The sequence below is a fragment of the Homo sapiens genome, chromosome 16 (genome assembly GCF_000001405.40).
Source record: "Homo sapiens chromosome 16, GRCh38.p14 Primary Assembly".
NCBI lineage: Eukaryota > Metazoa > Chordata > Mammalia > Primates > Hominidae > Homo > Homo sapiens.
The window spans coordinates 71,888,693-71,908,760 of NC_000016.10; the positions used below are offsets into that span (position 1 = coordinate 71,888,693).

A 20,068-nucleotide genomic window follows, 5' to 3' on the forward strand; every position below is an offset into this window, starting at 1 on the left:
TGTTTAAACTTTTGTGTTTATATTTAGAATCTAGAGTTACAAGTTTTCATGGCTTTGAGTTCATTTAAGGAAAAATTAAGTTTTCTAGATGATTACAATGATGATAAATGTAAAAACCTGATTTGAAAATTTTTTGATCTTATATATGAACCCAAATCACAGTAATAACTGTGATTTAATGCATTTTATTTTCATGTATTGATAAACTCCATATACACAAATTGAAAGTAAAACAGGGCTGGAAATTATTATGGAAACATGGATATACAGGAAGTATATAATCGGGCCAAGCGAGGTGGCTCATGCCTTTGGGAGGCTGAGGTGAGAGAATCACTTGAGGCCAGGAGTTTGAGACCAGTCTGGGCAACATAGTGAGATCCTGTCTCTACAAAAATGTTTTTTAAAAATTAGCCAGGCATGGTGGCATGTACCTGTAGTCCAAGCTACTTAGGAGGATGAGATGGGAACCCAGCAGTTTGAGGCTGCAGGGAGCTGTGATAGTACCCTTGCACTTCAGCCTGATGACAGAGTGAAACCATGTCTTAAAATAAAAAATAAATAAATGAAAAGAAAATATATGATGTTCAGTGTCAAAGTCTGGGTTCAAGATCTGATCCTGGCATTTATAGCTGTTGACCTTAGATTGGTCACTTCATAGCTTTAAGCTTCACTTTCCTCCTATAAAAACTGACAATAGCCGGGTGCGGTGGCTCACACCTGTTGTAATCCCAGCACTTTGGGAGGCTGAGGTGCATGGATCACTTGAGATCAGGAGTTCAAGACCAGCCTGGCCAACATGGTGAAACTCTTTCTCTAATAAAAATACAAAAATTAGCCGGGTGTGGTGGTGCATGCCTGTAAATCCCAGCTACCTGGAAGGCTAAGGCAGGAAAGTCACTTGAACCTGGGAGGTGGAGGTTGCAGTGATCCAAGATTATGCCATTGCACTCCAGCCTAGGAGACAGAGTGAGACTCTGTCTCAAAAAACAAAACAAAAAACAAAACAACAACAAAAAAACAAAAACAAAAGAAAACCCGAAAAAACCTGACCTGATAATGCCAGACCGGGCAGCATGGCAAAACCCCATCTCTACCAAATAAATATAAGAAATTACCCAGGTATGGTGGCATGGCATGTGCCTATAGTCCCAGCTACTCAGGAGGCTGATGTGGGAGGATCATCTGGGCCCAAGATCATGGCTGCAGTGAGCCATGATTGCACCACTGCACTTCAGCCTGCACAACAGAGCGAGACCCTGTCTCAGGCAAAACAAAACAAAAACAAAAACAAAAAAATGATTTTTGACCTGCAGCTGCTTCACAGAAATGTCAGCCTGAAATTGAGATAATGTGTTTATAGGTGCTTTGTAAACTGTAAAATGCCACAAAGATAAGTTAATATTTGTATATAGCCCTAATTAGTGACATTAATTAGTTTTCTGAAGACTTGTTTCATGGGTTCTTTAACAAGTGATCTTGATTTTTTTTTCCTAGGCTTTAGGAAGATGTCCAGAGCAGTTCCTATATCCTTGTATATTCTTTTTTTTATTGTTTTTCTTCTTTTTCTTTTTTTGTTTCATTGTATATTCTTTAGTCTAAATGTTAATAGTTAAAACAAAGGAAATAACTCTATGCCCATCATCTTTCCCTTCTTTCTCTTACACAATGTGTAGTACTTTTATGCAGAAGTCAGCAAACTTTTTTTTTTTTTTCAGACAGGATCTCACTCTGTCTCCCAGCCTGGAGTACAGTGGCACAATCTCGGCTCACTGCAGCCTCCTCTGCCTCCCAGGTTCAAGTGATTCTCCTGCCTCAGCCTCCTGAGTAGCTGGGATTACAGTGCACCACCACACCTGGCTAATTTTTGTATTTTTAATAGAGACAGATTTTCGCAATGTTGACCAGGCTGGTCTCGAACTCCTGACCTCAAGTGATCCCCCTGCCTTACCCTCCCAAAATGCTGGGATTACAGGTGAGCAAACTTTTTCTATAAAGGACCACATAGTAAATATTTTGGGATTTGTGGGCAACATAAAGTCACTGTCACACATTCATGCTCCTCCCCTTCCTGCTTTTTTTTTTTTTTTTTTTTTTTTTGAGAGGGAGTCTCACTCTGTCACCCAGGCTGGAGTGCAGTGGCGCATTCTCGGCTCACTGCAAGCTCCGCCTCCCAGGTTCACGCCATTCTCCTGCCTCAGCCTCCCAAGCAGCTGGGACTACAGGCGCCCGCACCACGCCCAGCTAATTTTTTTTTGTATTTTTTAGCGGAGACGGGGTTTCACTGTGTTAGCCAGGATGGTCTCCATCTCCTAACCTCGTGATCCGCCCGCCTCACCCTCCCAAAGTGCTGGGATTACAGGCGTGAGCCACCGCGCCCAGCCCCTTCCTGCTTTTTAACCTTTTAACAATATAAAAATCATTCTTAGCTGGAGAGGCTGTACACAAAACAGGTTGGCTGATTAAGGCTTGCAGGCCTGTTATAGATTCTTATTTTATTGGGCTCAAACACTGTGTCTGGTTTTAGTTACAGCTACTAGTTATAGTCATTTACACAAAAAAAGTACCTGGTTAGTTACCAAAGAAATGTAATGTGTTAACATTTGTCCCAACAGCAAAACTGGATTTTCAAGGGAAACAGTGTTTATTTTTCAGTATGTTTAGCTTCTGAATGAAACTTGTCTGTTCAGCCAGGGACAGAGATAATATTGTGTTTTTTAATTCCCTCAGAGATACTGTTTCGAATAATTGGCTTGTTGGGGTACAATTCACAGTTGATATATTACAGGATCTAAATAGACAGGTAGGTTTTGTTAAAGCCCAGGACACAGGTGATGATTGCTAAATCTTTACAACTCCCGAGTAGAAAGCAATTTTTCTAAACGAATAAATGAATCATGTCGGCTGGGCATGGTGGCGCACGCCTGTAATCCTAGCACCCTGGGAGGCCGAAGCCGGCAGATCACTTGAGGTCAGGAGTTCGAAACCAGCCTGGCCAACATGGTGAAACCTCATCACTACTAAAAATACAAAAAATCGGCCAAGCGTGGTGTCCCACGCCTTTAATCCCAGCACTTTAGGAGGCTGAGGCGGGCGGATCATGAGGTCAGGGGTTTGAGACTAGCCTGACCAACACGGTGAAACCTCATCTTTACTAAAAATAGCCAGGCGTGGTGGTGCAGGCCTGTAGCAGCTACTCAGGAGGCTGAGGCAGCAGAATCGCTTGAACCCGGGAGGCGGAGGTTGGAGTGAGCTGAGATTGAGCCACTGCACTCCACCCTGGGCGACAGAGAGAGACTCCGTCTCAAAAAAAAAAAAAAAAAAAAAAAAAATTAGCTGGACTTGGTGGTGGATGCCTGTAATCCCAGCTACTTGGTACTTGTAAGGCTGCGACAGGAGAATCGCTTTAACCCGGGAGGTGGAGGTTGCAGTGAGCTGAGATCGCGCCATTGCACTCCAGCCTGGGCAACAAGAGAGAAACTCCGTCTCAAAAAAAAAAAAAAAAAAAAAAAAAAAAAAAAGAATCATGTCACCTTTAGCGCTTTTAGTTAGGTGGGGCTCAATGATACTTTTAGCTTATCTTTTTTCAGTCTGTGAGACAGAGTCTCCCTCTGTCACCCAGGCTGGAGGGCAGGGGCGCGATCTCGGCTCACTGCAAGCTCCGCCTCCCGGGTTCACACCATTCTCCTGCCTCAGCCTCCCCAGTAGCTGGGACTACAGGCGCCCGCCACCAAGCCCGGCTAATTTTTTTTGTATTTTTAGTAGAGACGGGGTTTCACCGTGTTAGCCAGGATGGTCTCTATCTCCTGACCTCGTGATCCACCCGCCTCGGCCTCCCAAAGTGCTGCGATTACAGGTGTGAACCACCGTGCCCGGCCAAAATTTTTTTTTTTTTTTTTTGAGAGGGAGTCTTCCTCTGTCGCTCAAGCTGGAATGCAGGGGCGTTATCTCGGCTCATTGCAACCTCCGCCTCCCCGGTTCAAGCGATTCTCTTGCCTCTGCCTCCGAATTAGCTGAAATTATAGGCACGAGCCACAAACCAGGCTTTTTTTTTTTTTTTGAGACAGAGTCTTGCTCTGTCACCCAGGCTGGAGTGCAATGGCATGATCTCGGGTCACTGCAACCTCCGCCTCCCGGTTCAAGCGATTCTTCTGCCTCAGCCTCCAAGTAGCTGGGATTACAGGCGCCCGCCACCATGCCCTGCTAATTTTTTATATTTTTAGTAGACACAGGGTTTCACCATGTTGGCCTGGTCGGTTTCGAACTCCTAACCTCAAGTGATCCACCCACCTCGGCCTCTCAAAGTGCTGGGATTACAGGCATGAGCCACCCTGCCTGGCTTTTTTTTTTTTTTTTTTGAGATATAGTCTGGCTCTGTCACCCAGGCTGGAGTGCAGCGGCGCCATCTCGGCTCACTGCAATCTCTATCTCCTGGCGCCATTCTCCTGCCTCAGCCTCCCGAGTAGCTGGGACTACAGGCGCCCGCCACAACCCCCAGCTAATTTTTTTTTGTATTGTTGGTAGAGACGGGGTTTCACCGTGTTAGCCAGGGTGGTCTTCATCTCCTGACCTCGTGATCCTCCCGCCTCGGCCTCCCAAAGTGCTGGGATTACAGGCGTGAGCCACCGCGCCCGGCCAATTTTTTGTATTTTTAGTAGAGATGGGGTTTCACCATGTGGCCAGGCTGCTCTCCAACTCCTGACCTCAGGTGATCCACTCGCCTCAGCCTCCCAAAGTGCTAGGATTACAGGCGTGAGCCACCACGCCTGGCCCACTTTTTTTTTTTTTGGGACAGGGTCTCACTCTGCTGCCCAGGCTGGAGTGCAGTGGCACAATCTCACATCACTGCAACCTCCGCCTCCCAGGTTCAAGCGATTCTCCTGCCTCAGCCTCCCAAGTAGCTGGGATTACAGGTGTGTTGCCACCACATCCGGCTAATTTTTGTATTTTTAGTAGAGACGGTTTCACCATGTTGGCCAGGCTGGTCTTGAACTTCTTACCTCAGGTGATCCACCCGCCTCGGCCACCCAAAGTGCTGAGATTACAGGCATAAGCCACCATGCCCAGCCAAAAAAATCTGCACTTTTTTTTTTTTTGGTTGGAGTCTTGCTCTATTGCCTAGGCTAGATTGCAATGGGGAGATCTCGGCTCACTGCAACCTCCGCCTTCTGGGTTCAAGCGATTCTCCTGCCTCAGCCTCCGGAGTAGCTGGGATTACAGGTATGTGCCTACACGCCTGGCTAATTTTTTCTTTTTTTTGTATTTTTTTTAGTAGAGACGAGATTTCACAATGTTGGTCAGGCTGGTCTTGAACTCCTGACCTCAGGTGATCCACCTGCCTCAGTCTCCCCAAGTGCTGGGATTACAGGCATGTGCCACCGCGCCTGGCATGGAACCTGGTTTTATCTTGAAATGTTGCAAACGTTTATAAAGATACAGTATTTCTAAATTCACATCAACATCTTATGATAAGGGCTAGCTCCTACTTGTCATATGACTGCCCCGGTACAAGCATTAGATGCAGCCTCCACAGCAGGGAGCAGATGACTTCCTTCTGGAGGCCCCTTTTTCTTTTTTCCCTTTTTTTTTTTGAGACGTTTCGCTCTTGTTGCCCAGGCTGGAGGGCAATCGCCGGATCTCGGCTCACTGTAACTCGAGAATCAAGCGATTCTCCTGCCTCAGCCTCCGGAGTAGCTGGGATTACAGGCTTGCGCCACCATGCGTAATTTCCTCTTTAGTAGAGACGGGGTTCCTCTGTGTTGGCCAGGCTGGTCTCGAATTACCGACTTCAGGTGATACACCTGCCTCGGCCTCCCAAAATGTTGAGATTACAGGCGTGAGCCACCGCACCCGGCCCTTTTTCTTTTTTTCTGTAGCCTAGGCTGGAGTGCTGTGACGTGATCACGGTTTACTGCAGCAGCGACCTTCTGGGCTCAAGCGATCTTCCTGCCTCAGCCTCCCGAGTAGCTGAGACCACAAGTGCTCACTGCTGCTCCCCTAATTTTTAACTTTTTTTTTTTTTTTTTTGTAGCGATGCGGTTTCACTATGGTGTCCAGGCTGGTCTGCAACTCCCGGGCTCAAGCGATCCTCCCGCCCCGCCTCTCAAAGTGCTGGGAAGGTCCCTTCCAGGCTTAAGCAGCGATAATGGTTTTCAAGTTAAAAACAAAGGTAACCAAGGAAAAAGTTTTCTCTGAATACCGAGATAAATTAGGGAAATCGCCAGAGACTGTGGTGCTGAGGAAACACTACTGAATTATACCACACAGACCGGAGCGATGCTGGTCCAAAGGGCAACCGGACGGCTTAAAAGCGGGGCGGGGGAACGCTTAGAGCCCGTAGAGGGACACGGAGGCGCTGGGTGAAGAGTCAGGGATACGCAGGCTTCGAAACCCCCTCGGCCGCTCCACCCAGGGGGAAAGTCCAGCGAAAGGCGGCAGCAGATCTTAGGGAGCAACTCCCGGCGTCAGAGAGGCGGTACTGGCAGCCGGTTATGGAAGAATCCGGAACCAAGGCACTGGGCGCGGTGAGGCCGTGGGCGCAGAGTCCGAGAATCAACAGCTGTGGCTGGCCTCCCCGCGCCCAGAGCGAAATTAAGGGCATGCCCCCAGCAGCTGACTCAGTCGGCGTGGCGCTTCCCCCAACGTCTGCCGTGCCCCCGCCGCGGGAAGTAGTCCCCGGCCGCGCCGACTCCAAAGGAAACCGAGGGAGGGTGCCCCGAGTCAGCGCGTGGGTCCCGGCAGCGGCGATCGCGCAGCCAATCCCTGGAAAGGAGGGCGTGGCTATATCGGCCCCGTGGATCCCTCCGCCCGCGCTTGTTGTGCTGAGGCCGAGGGAGTCGCCATTTTGGATGGTGAACCCTGAAGTCGGTGTCTGCTGCGTTCACGGCAGGATTCGGTTAGGTGAGTGTGGCATCCTCGGCGTCAGAGGTCTCTGTCTTCCTCTTCTCTCTGCGCTCCTGATTTAGCGGTCTCTAGTTAGCGCTAGGGCCCGGGATTCAAACGACTTCGGAGGGGGCAGCTGAGGAGAAAGGGAAGGATAGTGGAAGTGGGGGTCAGACCGGAGGTCAGGCCCTCGAGGGCCCGCGGCGCAGGAGGCTGCCCAGGCCTGGGTGGGGGGCGTGGCAGGGCCGCGAGCGGGTCGGAGGCCTCTGGTCCTGGATCCTCGAAGCCCCTTAACTTTCCCCTAGTCTTCCTGCCCCGAGGTGTGTCTTCCTTGGGGCGGAAACGCCGCGGCCTCGGCGAGGGCTCCTCGGCGACACCCCTACCCCGTCTTTTCTGGCCCGGAGAGACTTCGGGAAGGTCAGAGCTTCCAGTGCCGCGAGAGGCGGATGCCCTCCAGTCCGGGCCGCTTCCACCGGGCGGGGTGGCCTCCTGGGCTTGTTCCTGGGTTGGGGGAACGGACTTGGGTCCACTTTGGCCTGAGAAAATTACAATTTCTTTCGCTGAAGTAAGGAGCGGCCTCTGCCCGCTTTCTCGGATCCCTGCGTGTGTAGTGAGAGGTCTTGGAAGGATCCTTGCGCCTCTCCTCTTTGTTTTTCTCGGTGCTCTTCTTCCGGGGTGCTGGAGGTGACCTCTTGGAACTCAACAGCATAAACTTTGAGGAGGGTCGGGACCCAGGAGCTGTAGGTTAATTACAAAAGACACTGTCTGTCGTAGTAAACTTAAAGTCTGGTCTTAGATCTTTAGGGGAAACTTGAATTTTAAAATTATGTGTAATATTTTAACTTTTTATTATGGAAAATTTCAAGCAGACAGGAGTATAATGAATTCTCTCATCCAGCTTCAAACACGATCAACTCATGCCTAATCTTGTTTTATCTATACCCTTCCTATGTCTGTATTTTTCTAATTTAATAATAGTTGAAATATATATGTATATATTTCCCTCTCCTTTCCCAGTAGAAGCCTTTTGGCTTTTGTACCTACAAGCCAATAGTTTGTGGGAAATTTGCTTCCTCAGAACTTCTGGGATAGGGGGACTTGGTAATAGTCATTAGAAGATAAAACTGGCCAGATGTGGTGGCTCACCCCTGTAATCCCAGTACTTGGGGAGGGCTAGGTGGGATGATCACTTGAGCTTGGGAGTTGGAGAACAGCGTGGGCAACATAGCAAAATCCCGTTCTCTACAAAAATAAAAACAGCCAGGCGTGGAGGCCCGCATCTATAGTCCAGGAGGCTGAGGTAGGAGGATTGCTTGAGCCTGGGAGGTGGAGATTATAGTGAGTCGGTAATCGTGCCACTGCATTTCAGTCTGGAGGACAGAGTGAGACCCTGTGTAAAAAAAGAAAAAAAAAAAGAAATTAAAACACTTCCTCTTTTTTTGTATTTATTTTTGTTTTTGTTCTGCAGACGGGGGTCTCACTCTGTTTCCCAGGCTGGAGTGCTGTAGTGCACTCCCTGCAGCTTCGACCTTTCAGGACTCAAGTGATCCTCCCGCCCCAGCCTTGGGAGTAGTAGCTGACACTACAGGCCCACGCCTGGCTTTTTTTTTTTTTTTTTTTTGGTCGGGGTCGGGAGGGGAGAGTTTCTTAATGTTGCCCAGACTGGTCTTGAACTCGTGGGCTCAAGTGATCCTCCCAAAATGCTGGGATTAGAAGTATTTTGAATCCCCAGTGTTAGTGTTACGTTTTAAAGTCATCCAGTTTCGTATATCTTATTTTAAAATAGTATTATTATTTTGTCCAAATACTTTTTCATTCTCCCTCTTTGTTCTTATGTCTCTGGCTTCTAAATTATCAGGAGCTCCAGAATCTCCATCTCTAGTTTGTTTGATTTAAGCTCTGGTTCTTGTAAGATAATCAGAATCAAGTCCCAGGGTTTTACAATAAAACTAGAAAAATGAAAGGGTAGTATAGTTAGTCATTCCAAATACAGGAAAAGTAACATGCCTATGAACACTTATTTCAGCATTACTTATATGGTACAGATGGTCAAAAGTTTGGAGAATTGGTAAGAAAATTCTTATTGAGTGGAGGCCGGGCACGGTGGCTCACGCCTGTAATCCCAGCACTTTGGGAGGCCGAGGCGGGTGGATCACCTGAGGTCAGGAGTTTGAGACCAGCCTGGACAACATGGTGAAACCCTGTCTCTACTAAAAATACAAAAATTAGCCAGGAGTGTTGGTGTGGCCTGTAGTCCCAGCTACTCCAAAGGCTGAGGTAGGAGAATTGCTTGCTCGAACCCGAGAGGCGGAGGTTGCAGTGAGCTGAGATCGTGCCACTGCACTCCAGCCTGGGCGACAGAGTGAGAATCCGTCTCAAAAAGAAAAAATTATTACTGAGTGGAATATTAGACAGCGTTTACTACAAGGTTTTAGACTGTAACAAGATACGATGAGAAGGATTCTATATTGCTCAGTCCATGAGTATAGCTTTGTAAAACTATACCTTAAGAAAAACCCTTGGCCAGGCACCGTGGCTCACGCCTGTAATCCCAGCACTTTGGGAGGCTGAGGCAGGCAGATCACTTGAGGTAAAGAGTTTGAGACCAGCCTGGCCAACATGGTAAAACCCCTTCTCTACTAAAAATACAAAAAAATTAGCCAGGTGTGGTGGTGGGCACCTGTAATCCCAGCTACTTGGGAGGCCAAGGCAGGGGAATCATTTGAACCTGGGAGGTGGAGGTTGCAATGTGCCAAGATTGCACCACCTGCCTGGTGACAGAGACACTCTCTCTCTCAGAAAAAAAAAAAAAAAAAAGAAACTCTCTTGGTGCGGGGCACTGTGGCTCATGCCTGTAATCCCAGCACTTTGAGAGGCTGAGGTGAACGGATCATGTGAGGTTAGGAGTTCAAGACCAGCCTGGCCAACATGGTGAAACCCCCTCTCTACTGTAAATACAAAAATTAGTTGGGCATGGTGGCGGGCGCCTGTAATACTTGGGAGGCTGAGGCAGGAGAATTGCTTGAACCCAGGAGGTGGAGGTTGCAGTGAGCCAAGATCCAGCTTGGGCCACAGAGTGAGACTCTGTCTTAAAAAAAAAAAAAAAACAAAAAAGGAAACACTGAGGCCAGGAGTGGTGGCTCACGCCTGTAATCCCAGCACTTTGGGAGGCCAAGGCGGGCAGATCAGGACATCAGGCGTTGGAGACCAGCCTGGTCAACATGGCGAAACCTCGTCGCTACTAAAAATAAAAAAATTAGCGGGGTGCCTGTTCTCCCAGCTACTCGGGAGGCTGAGGCAGGAGAATCACTTGAACCTAGGAGGCGGAGATTGCAGTGAGCCGAGATGGCACCGCTGCACTCCAGCCTGGGCAGCAGAGCAAGCCTCTATCTCAAAAAAAAAAAAAAAAAAAGAAACACTCTTGGTAAAAGACCCAATGAATTTCCCATAATGTTTTTATCTCAATTTTATTGAGAACAAGATGAAGATACTTTCTTTATGCCTGTGCATTTCAGTATTTATAGCTCCTTCAAGAAAATTTTGATGGTCTCTGAATTCTGAAGCCTTATTTTCTTGTGAATAACACATGATGCTGTTGATCTTACAGTTTTTTTTTTAAATTAATTTTCAGTCTTAGTTTGACCAGTGAAGATTTTATTATAGTGTGAAAATACACAGTGAACTTTGTGCCACTTGTACATGTAATGCTTCTAAAGGAATTGGACCACCAGGTGTGGCGGCTCATGCCTGTAATCCCAGCACTTCGGGAGGTTGAGGCGGGAGGATTGCTGAGCCCAAGAGTTGGGAGACCAGCCTGGGCAACATAGCAAGGCCCCATCTCTGCTAATAAAAATTTTTAAAAAGATAAAGGAATTGGGCTGTATTATCTTGGAAATGTGTCCTAGCACCTCATTGTGTCTGTTTCTACTCTAACATCACATCTTCATAACTGCGATACAGTGGTCATACCAAAATTTGTTCAAATTACTTCTTTTATAAGAACAACAACAAAAGAAACCTCAGGCTGGGAGTGGTGGCTCATACCTGTAATCCCAGCACTCTGGGAGGCCGAGGCGGGTGGATCACCTGAGGTCAGGAGTTTGAGACCAGCCTAGCCAACATGGTGAAACCCTGTCTCTACTAAAAATAGAAAAAATTAGCTGGGCGAACAGCCGGGCATGGTGGCTAACGCCTGTAATCCCAGCACTTCGGGAGGCCGAGGCGGGTGGATCACAAGGTCAGGAGATCGAGACCATCCTGGCTAACACGGTGAAACCCTGTCTCTACTAAAAATATAAAAAATTAGCTGGGTATGGTGGTGGGTGCCTGTAGTCCCAGCTACTCGGGAGGCTGAGGCAGAGGTAGTAGTGAGCCAAGATTGCGCCACTGCACTCTAGCCTCGGCGACAGAACAAGACTCTGTCTCAAAAAAAAAAAAAAAAAAAATTAGCTGGGCGTGATGGCAGACACCTGTAATCCTAGCTACCTGGGAGGTTGAGGCAGGAGAATCGCTTGGACCTGGGAGGTGGAGGTTGCAGTAGGCTGAAATCGCACCATTGCATTCCAGCCTGGGCAACAAGAGTGAAACTCGGTCTCAAAAAAAAAAAAAAAGATCAGAATAAATAAAATAACACACGTCAAAACCAAAAGCTTTTGTACGTATTGGAGTGTCTGTAGCCAGTCTTGACCTTGCTCTCTCCCCTCCTCACTTCGTACTTTTAGAGCTACAAACACTGAGTTTACTCCCTTAGGAAGTCTTTTTTTTTTTTTTTTTTTTTTTGGCTACTTTTAGCTGCTACTACTTTGAATAGAGCTTTCAGGATCACTACTTCTGGGCAGCTTCACTATTTTGGGCAGCAGTTCTGATTCTTTTCCTCCTCCAGATATCCTAAGAGGAAGGACTCAGTCCATGGTTTTACTTTGCTTATTCAGGATGGGGAGGCTAACTAGCTCGCGAAGTCTCAGCGAGCTGAGTGATAAAAGAGGAACTAGATGGGTTTGCTATGCCAGTGTTAAGAATTGGAGTAAAGTGAAGGATTGGGCTGCTGATCCATGTGTGACACTAATAAAAATAATGGTGTTACACTAATAAAGATAAGTATATATGTATATAAACAGAATACCGAGAACTAGGATTGTGGTCACTAGTTCATAACCATTTTTTAGAGTTTATGTTATAATTGCTTACTTGTCTTATAGTTGTTTTTATGTCAGCTATACCCATTTGATTGTGAGCCCCTTGAAGGCTAGGGAAGCTCTCATTTGAATGTCTGTTGTAGACAGTGGCTTAGCACAGTGCTTAATAGAATAGCACTCAATAAATATTTGGTGAGTGAGTGAATGACAGTAAAGATGTTGAAGCACAGTGATTTTAGAGTAACGTCTGAATCACAAAAAGAATTTTAGATTACTTACTGGACAATGTTAGTATGTGATGTGTATATAATCACATATGTATAAAAATTTGTTTATGTTTGTTAATGTATATATGAATAGTAAATGTTGACTAGAATATTTTATTAACTTTTAGGTTATTATTTCCAAAATTAATGTTCCTAATCATACAGGATAACAAAGTTTATGTTATGTTTAGCTTTGGAAACAGGTTCAAATTCTGAGATAGTAATTAAGTCAGTCTTTTGGTTTTTTTTCTTTTTTTTTGAGACGGAATCTTGCTCTGTCGCCCAGGCTGGAGTGCAGTAGCACGATCTCGGCTCACTGCAAGCTCCACCTCCCGGGTTCACGCCATTCTCCTGCCTCACCCTCCCAAATAGCTGGGACTACAGGCACCCATCACCACACCCAGCTAATTTTTTGTGTTTTTAGTAGAGATGGGGTTTCACTGCGTTAGCCAGAATGGTCTCGATCTCCTGACCTCGTGATCCACCCACCTCGGCCTCCCAAAGTGCTGGGATTACAGGTGTGAGCCACCGCGCCCTGCGTAGTCTTTTGCTTTAAATTCGTTTTTAGTCTGATTTATTTAATGTACTGGTAATCATTTAGGATATATCCTTTAGTTACTACTTTTGTGGTTTACTGTCATTGTCTTTAATGATTAGTTTCTTCGTAAAATGGGGATCTGTTGAATAGGAGTTGAAAAATCCTCAGTACTTAACAAAATAGTTTAGCAAATTGCTTTTCTTTCCTTAATTCTAAAACAAAACTAGATTATGTAAATTTGTAGAATTTTTTTAAAAGCATGTGGTTTTTAATTAAATTTTCTACTAATTAACATAATACATGAGCGACAGCTTTGTACAAAACACTGTGCTAGGCAGTGTGTGGGTGACATACCGTTCTAGGCAGTATGTAAGAAACAGTTGTCTTGCAGTGAGATTGAAACAGATTAATCAGAATTGTTAAACCGAGGGAAAAAGATATAAAGCATGCCTTAAACATCTTATTTTAACATAAAACACACAAAAGAGGCTAGCTAATCTTTAGATGAAGAGCTAAGACTTTTTAAAATATGGGTCCATTGACTGGAATTTATTTAACAAATGTTTACATGGTGCTTACTGTGTACATATAACACAATGTGCTAATTTCTTTACAAATTTTCACTTAATTCTCATACCAGCCCAAGAGGTGTGAAGGTTCATGTAATATTAGTACTGATTTTCCTCAGATGTTTGATAGAATTTGCCAGAGAAGCCACCTGGGCCTGGATTTTCTTTGGGAATGGTTCTTAATTTTAGATTTAATTGTTTTTTTTTTGAGACAAAGTCTGGCTCTGTCATCCAGGCTGGAATGCAGTGGTGTGATCTCGGCTCACTGCAACCTCCACCTCCTGGGTTCAAGCAATTCTTCTGCCTCAGCCTCCCGAGTAGCTGGGATTACAGATGCCTGCCACCACGCCTGGCTAATTTTTGTATTTTTAGTAGAGATGGGGTTTCACCATGTTGGCCAACCTGGTTTCGAACTCTTGACCACAAGTAATCTGCCCGCCTCGGCTTCCCAAAGTGCTGGGATTATAGGCGTAAGCCACCGCGCCCAGCCTAGATTCAATTTTTGTAATAGATCTAGTGCAGCTATATTTTCTATTTCTTTGTGTCAAATTTAGTAAATTTGAGTTTCTGAGGGATTTGTTTATTTCATTTAATTGTTGAATTTATAGATATATGTTGGTTATAATATCGCCTTTAAAAGTCTTTAGAATCTGTAGTGATATTCACCCTTTCATCGCTGATACTGATAATTTATATGTTTATATGTTCCTTTTCTTTGTGAGTTTGTTATATAGGTATGTCAGTTTTTAAAAAATCGTTTTGAAGAATCAGCATTTAGTTTCCTTGATTTTTTTTCTATTTTTTCTTCTATTTCATTGATTTTTGCTTTCTTTTTGTTGTTTTTGCTTACTTTGGTTTGATTTTGCTCTTTTTCTGGTTCCTTAATGTGGAAGCTTAGATTAGTAATTTGAGACCTTTTTTCTGGAGAGACAGAGTCTTGCTCTGTTGTCCAGCCTAGAGTGCAGTGGGCATGATCATAGCTCACTGCCTCCTCAAACTCTCGTGCTCACTGCCTCAGCCTTGCAAGTAGCTGGGACTCCAGGTGTGTGCCACCATGCCCTGCTAATGTTTTAATTTTTTTGTAGAGAATGGGGTCTTGCTACATTGTCCAAGCTGGTCTCAAACTCCTGGCCTCAAGTGATCCTCTCCCCTTGGCCTCCCAAAGTGCTGGAATTACAGGTGTGAACCACTGAGCCTGGCCTCTTCTTTTCTAATTAAAACCTTAATGATATAATTTTTTCTCTAAGCACTGCCTTAGCTACATCCCACAAATTCGTTACATATATATATTTTTTTTTTCAGTACAAACCTTTAAAAAATTTTTTTCACTTGAAGCTTTCTCTTTGACCTCCAAGCAGTTCATCTAGAAGTATATTGTTGAATTCCCAAATGTTAAGAGATTTTCTGTTGATTTCTAGTTTAATTCCATTACAGTTAAAGAACATTCTTGGTATGACTTCAATTCTATTTAATTTGGGTTTTGTTTTCCTCTTCTTTAAAAATTTAATAGAGACGAGGTCTTACTGTGTTACTCAGGCTGGTCCCTTGGCCTCAAACGATCCTTCTACCTCAGCCTCTCAAGTAGCTGAGGTTATAGGTGAGAGCTACCATGCCTGGTCCTATTTAATTTGTTAAGTTTGATTTTAGAACCCCAGCTATGTCCTACATTCATGAATGTTCTAGTACACTGCTGTGTTGGGTGTAATGTTCTGTAAGTGTCAGTGAGATGCCGTCAGTTGGTGGTGGTGTTCAGTTCACTGTCCTTGTTTGTGTTCTGTCTGCTAGGTTGATCAGTTATGGTGGGAGGTATGTTGAAGCCTCTAACTATAATTAGATTTATTTCTCCTTTCCTCTCTGTTAGTTTTTGCTTTTTGTTTTTGAAGCTCTGTTGTTGGGTGCATTCACAGTTAGGATTGTTGTATCTTCCTGGTGACTTCACCCTTTTATGCTTATGTAATGTCCTTCTGTATCCCTGGTTTTCCTTTCTCTGAAGTCTACTTTGTCTGATTTTAATGTAACCCCTCCAACGTTCTATTTGTTTGGTGGTGGTGGTGGTTGTTTTGAGACGGAGTTTCGCTGTTGTTGCCCAGGCTGAGTGCAGTGGTGTGATCTCCGCTCGCTGCAATCTCTGCCTGCCAGGTTCAAGCAATTTTCCTGCCTCAGCCTCCCAAGTAGCTGGGATTACAGGCTTATGCCACCACGCCTGGCTAATTTTTTATTTTTAGTAGAGATGGGGTTTCGTCATGTTGACCAGGCTGATCTCGAACTCCTGACCTAAGTGATCCACCTGCCTCGGCCTGCCAAAGTTTTGGGATTACAGGCGTGAGCCATTGCGCCCGGCCTGTTGTTTTGAGACAGGATCTTGCTCTGTTGCCCAGTCTGGAGTGCACTTGCACAAACATGGCTGTCTGCAGCCTTGACCTCCTGGGCTTAAGCAGTTCTCCCACTTCAGTCCCCCCGAGTAGCTGGGACTACAGGCACATGCTACCGTGTCCAGCTAATTTTTATTTTTAATTGTAGAGATGGGATCTTGCTCTTAGTCTGGTCTTGAACTCCTGAGCTCCAGCGATCCTCCCACATCAGCCTCCCAAAGTGCTGGGCTTACGGCATGAGCCACCATACCTGGCCTCCAACTTTCTTTTGATTAGTGTTTGCATATATACCTTTCCCATACTTTACTTTTAAACTACCTACATTATTATATTTGAAGTGAGTTTGTTGTTGACAGTATATAGTGGATCATTTTTTGGTTCATTCTCACAATATCTGTCTTTTAATTGTGTTTATACCATTTTCATTTAATTATGTAATTTTTGAATGTTTGAGTTTAGGTCTACATTTTATTATTTGTTTTCTGTTCTCTCATTTTTGTTTCTGTTTCCTGCTTTTTGAGCTATTTGAACATATTTTTAAATTCCATTAAAAAATTTTTTTTTTGCTTTTTTTGTGTAGTATTTTTGTTTTTTTGTTTTTTGAGATGGAGTCTCACTGTGTCACCCAGGCTGGAGTGTAGTGGCGTGGTCTCAGCTCACTGCAGCCTCTGCCTCCCGTGTTCAAGCAATTCTCCCGCCTCAGCCTCCCAAGTAGCTGGGACTGCAGGTGCGTGCCATCACACCGGGCTAATTTTTGTATTTTTAGTAGAGATGGGGTTTTACTATGTTGGCCAGGCTGGTCTCGAACTCCTGACCTCGTGATCCACCCACCTTGCCCTCCCAAAGTGCTGCGATTATGGGCATGAGCCACCATGCCTGGCCGTATACAATTTTTTAGTGGTTGCTCTAGGGGTTACAATGGATGAACTTTTCTTTTTTTTTTTTTGAGACAGTTTCACTCTCGTTGCCCAGGCTGGAGTGCGATGGCACCATGTCAGCTCACTGCAACCTTCGTCTGCTGGGTTCAAGTGATTCTTTTGCCTCAGCCTCCCTAGTAGCTGGGATTACAGGCGCCCACCACCATGCCCAGCTACTTTTTTGTATTTTTAGTAGAGACGGGGTTTCACCATGTTGGCCAGGCTGGTCTTGAACTCCTGACCTCAGGCGATCCACCTGCCTTGGCCTTCCAAAGTGCTGGGATTACAGGCGTGAGCCACCGCACCCAGTCGAACTTGTTTTCATAGGCTACTTCCAGTCAATGTTTTTCCACTTCTCATGGAGTATGAAAACCTTACTATTCTATAGATGATCTCTTTACCCTTCTTCCCTTTATCCCATAATGTTTTGGTTATCTTATGTATTACATTTACATACATTGAAAGCTCTATCAGACAGTACTGGTTTTGTTTTTAATTGTCAAACATATTTTAAGAGACTTGCAGAGCCATCTGTAACAGATATTCGCCGTTTCTGTAACTCTTGCTTTATAATGTTCTGGGTTTCCTTCTGGTTAACACTTCCTTTCTGCATTAAAAACTTCTTAAGCAATTCTTTTTTTTTTTTTTTTTTGGAGACAGAATCTCACTCTGTCACTGAGGCTGGAGTGCAGTGGTGCCATCTCGGCTCACTGCAGCCTCTGCCTCCCAGGTTCAACCAATTCTCCTGCCTCAGCCTCCCGAGTAGCTGAGACTACAGGCGAGTGCCACTGCGCCCAGCTGATTTTTTGTGTTTTTAGTAGAGACGGGGTTTCGCTGTGTTAGCCAGGATGGTCTCAATCTCCTGACCTCGTGATCCACCCACCTCAGCCTCCCAAAGTGCTGGGATTAGAGGTGCGAGCCACTGCGCCCGGCCTTTTTGTTTTGTTTTGTTTTTTGAGACACAGTTTTGCGCTTGTTGCCCAGGCTGGAATGCAGTGGTCCGATCTCAGCTCACTGCAGCCTCTACCTACTGTGTTCAAGCGGTTCTCCTGCCTCAGCTTCCTGAGTAGCTAGGATTACAGGTGCCCGCCACCACGCCCAGCTAATTTTTTGTATTTTTTTTTTTCGTAGAGACGGGGTTTCACCATGTTGGCCAGGCTGGTCTCAAACTCCTGACCCCAGGTGATCCCACCTGACTTGGCCTCCCAAAGTGCTGAGATTACCAGGTGTGAGCCACCAGACCTGGCCCGCAATTCTTTTAGATCAGGTCTACTGGTGACAAATTCTCTTACTAGTTTTCCCTCATCTGAGAATGACTTTATTTTTGAGGGATATTTTCCCTGGATATATAATTTTAAGTTGACAGTTCTTTTTTTTCAGCACTTTAAAAACGTTGTTTCGCTTCCTTTTGGTCTCCCTGGTTTCTGAAGTGAAATCTACAGTCATTTAATAGGTCCCTTGTAGGTAATGCATCGTTTTTCCCAGACTGCTTTCAATATTTTAAAAAATTGTCAGCTGGGTACGGTTGTCTCATGCCTGTAGTCCCAGCTACTTGGGAGGCTGAGGCAGGGGAATCACTTGAACCTGGAAGGCAGAAGTTGGAGTGAGCAGAGATCGTGCCACTACACTCCAGCCTGGGTAACAGAGTGAGACTCCGTCTCAAAAAAAAAATTGTCTTTGGGTTTTAGCAGTTTGATTATGAGTCTGGACATGAATTTCTTTGTATTTTGTCTGATTCAAGTTTGCTAAGCTTTTGGAGTCTGTAGAGTTAATATGTTTTGCTAAATTTGGGAAGTTTTCAGGCAGTATTTTTTCTTTCTTTTTTTTTTTTTTAAATCGAGATCTGAGAAAGGCCATATTTTAAATAATGTTTTTAAAGAATAAAAATACTCTTTCTCCTATCCTTATGGGATTTTTTTTTTTTTTTGAGACAGTCTCTCTCTCTGTCGCCCATGCTGGAGTGCAGTGGTGCGATCTCCGCTCACTGCAAGCTTCGCCTCCTGGGTTCATGCCATTCTCCTGCCTCAGCCTCCCGAGTAGCTGGGACTATAGGCACCCGCCACCACGCCCGGCTAATTTTTTGCATTTTTAGTAGAGACGGGGTTTCACTGTGTTGGCCAGGGTGGTTTCGATCTTTTGACCTCGTGATCCGCCCGCCTCGGCTTCCCAAAGTGCTGGGATTACAGGCGTGAGCCACTGCGCCTGGCCCCCTTATAGGATTTAATGACCCAACTGTCATTAAGACATTAAGACCCCTTGCTGTTGTCCTACAGATCTGTAAGGCTTTGTTCACTGTTTTCAATTTTTTTCTCTCTTTTTTTCAGATTAGATACTTTCTATTGACTTACCTACAAGTGTCCTGGCTCTTTTCTCTGTCATTTCCCATTCTGGTGTTTAGTCCATACAGTTTCTTTCTTTGGTTTGTAATTTTTTATTCTAAGATTTTGTTTTTATTTTTATTTTGAGACAGGATCTTACCATATTGCTCAGGCTAGTCAACTAAACTAGACTCAAGCAGTCCTCCTGCCTCAGCCCCCTGAGAAGCAAGGATTAGTTCTGAGATTTGTCTCCTCTTTATGTCTTTACTTTTTTTTTGAGACGGAGTCTCGCTCTGTTGCCCAGCTGGAGTGCAGTGGTGTGATCTCAGTCCACTTCACCGTCCGCCTCCCGGGTTCAAGCAGTTCTCTGCCTCAGCCTCCTGAGAAGCTGGGACTACAGGCACGTGCCACCACACCAAGCTAATTTTTGTATTTTGAGTAGAGATGGGGTTTCATCATGTTAGCCAGGCTGGTCTTGAACTCCTGACCTCACGATCCACCCGCCTCTGCCTCCCAAAGTGCTGGGATTAGAGGCGTGAGCCACTGCGCCTGGCCTGTCTTTACTTTTTAATCTTTCCATTCAAGAGAAATTTCCCTTACTCGTTGTAGCTTTTTTTTTTTTTTTTTTTTTTGGAGACAGTCTTGCTCTGTCGCCCAGGCTGGAGTGCAATGGCACGATCTCGGCTCACTGCAACCTCCGCCTCCCCAGTTCAAGCGATTCTCCTGCCTCAGCCCCTTGAGTAGCTGGGACTACAGGCGTGTGCCACCACGCCCGGATAATTTTTGTATTTTTCATAGAAGAGTTTCACCATGTTGGCCAGGCTGGTCTCGAATACCACCCGCCTTGGCCTCCCACAGTGTTGGGATTACAGGTGTGAGCCACTGCACCCAGCCAGCATTTTTATAGTAGCTGCTTTAAAGTCTTTGTCAGTTAATTCCAACATTGGTGTTGTCTCAGGTTGATGTGTGAGTTGAGATTTTCCCAGTGAGTATCACCCACTTTCTGTCTATACCAGCGGTCCCCTTTCTAGTTCCTCAAGCCAGGACTAGAGAGCTCTTGATGCTCTTTCTCTC

The 20,068-nt window shown here is 45.3% G+C and overlaps 2 protein-coding genes across 7 annotated transcripts in view, besides 4 other annotated features; one reads left to right on the forward strand and one right to left on the reverse strand.

The window, feature by feature from the left end:
- The window catches only part of ZNF821 (zinc finger protein 821), a 35,577-nt gene extending 29,013 nt beyond the window's left edge, over positions 1 to 6,564 (reverse strand). Inside the window, exon 1 of the mRNA XM_047434342.1 lies at positions 5,484 to 6,564. The gene's annotated coding sequence lies outside the window, so the exon portion shown is untranslated. The remainder of the gene's footprint in view (positions 1 to 5,483) is intronic.
- Positions 5,716 to 20,068, forward strand: part of IST1 (IST1 factor associated with ESCRT-III) — a 36,792-nt gene continuing 22,439 nt past the window's right edge. For 4 of the 6 annotated variants that reach the window (NM_001270975.2, NM_014761.4, NM_001270977.2 and 1 more), the window contains exon 1: positions 6,839 to 6,897. Coding sequence is in view for 1 of the 6 variants with exons in the window: in NM_001270976.1 (NP_001257905.1) it covers positions 6,143 to 6,166 (24 nt within the window). In the remaining 5 variants the exon portion in view is untranslated. Of the gene's footprint in view, positions 5,790 to 6,028; positions 6,167 to 6,800; positions 6,898 to 20,068 lie in introns of those variants that run through there. The other 2 variants (NM_001270976.1, NM_001270979.1) reach the window with 2 other exon arrangements.
- Positions 6,227 to 6,736: an enhancer, noted in NCBI's record as "active region_11086". NCBI's record gives its function as "activates an Ori minimal core promoter by ATAC-STARR-seq in GM12878 lymphoblastoid cells {active_cell/tissue: GM12878}" and the evidence as "EXISTENCE:reporter gene assay evidence [ECO:0000049][PMID:35858748]".
- Positions 6,227 to 7,179: a biological region, named in NCBI's record as "H3K27ac hESC enhancer GRCh37_chr16:71929209-71929774".
- Positions 6,614 to 7,179: an enhancer, noted in NCBI's record as "H3K27ac hESC enhancer chr16:71929209-71929774 (GRCh37/hg19 assembly coordinates)". NCBI's record gives its function as "activates a minimal SCP1, AML or CMV promoter by ChIP-STARR-seq in naive H9 embryonic stem cells {active_cell/tissue: H9 hESC(naive)}" and the evidence as "EXISTENCE:reporter gene assay evidence [ECO:0000049][PMID:30033119]".
- Positions 6,907 to 7,096: an enhancer, noted in NCBI's record as "active region_11087". NCBI's record gives its function as "activates an Ori minimal core promoter by ATAC-STARR-seq in GM12878 lymphoblastoid cells {active_cell/tissue: GM12878}" and the evidence as "EXISTENCE:reporter gene assay evidence [ECO:0000049][PMID:35858748]".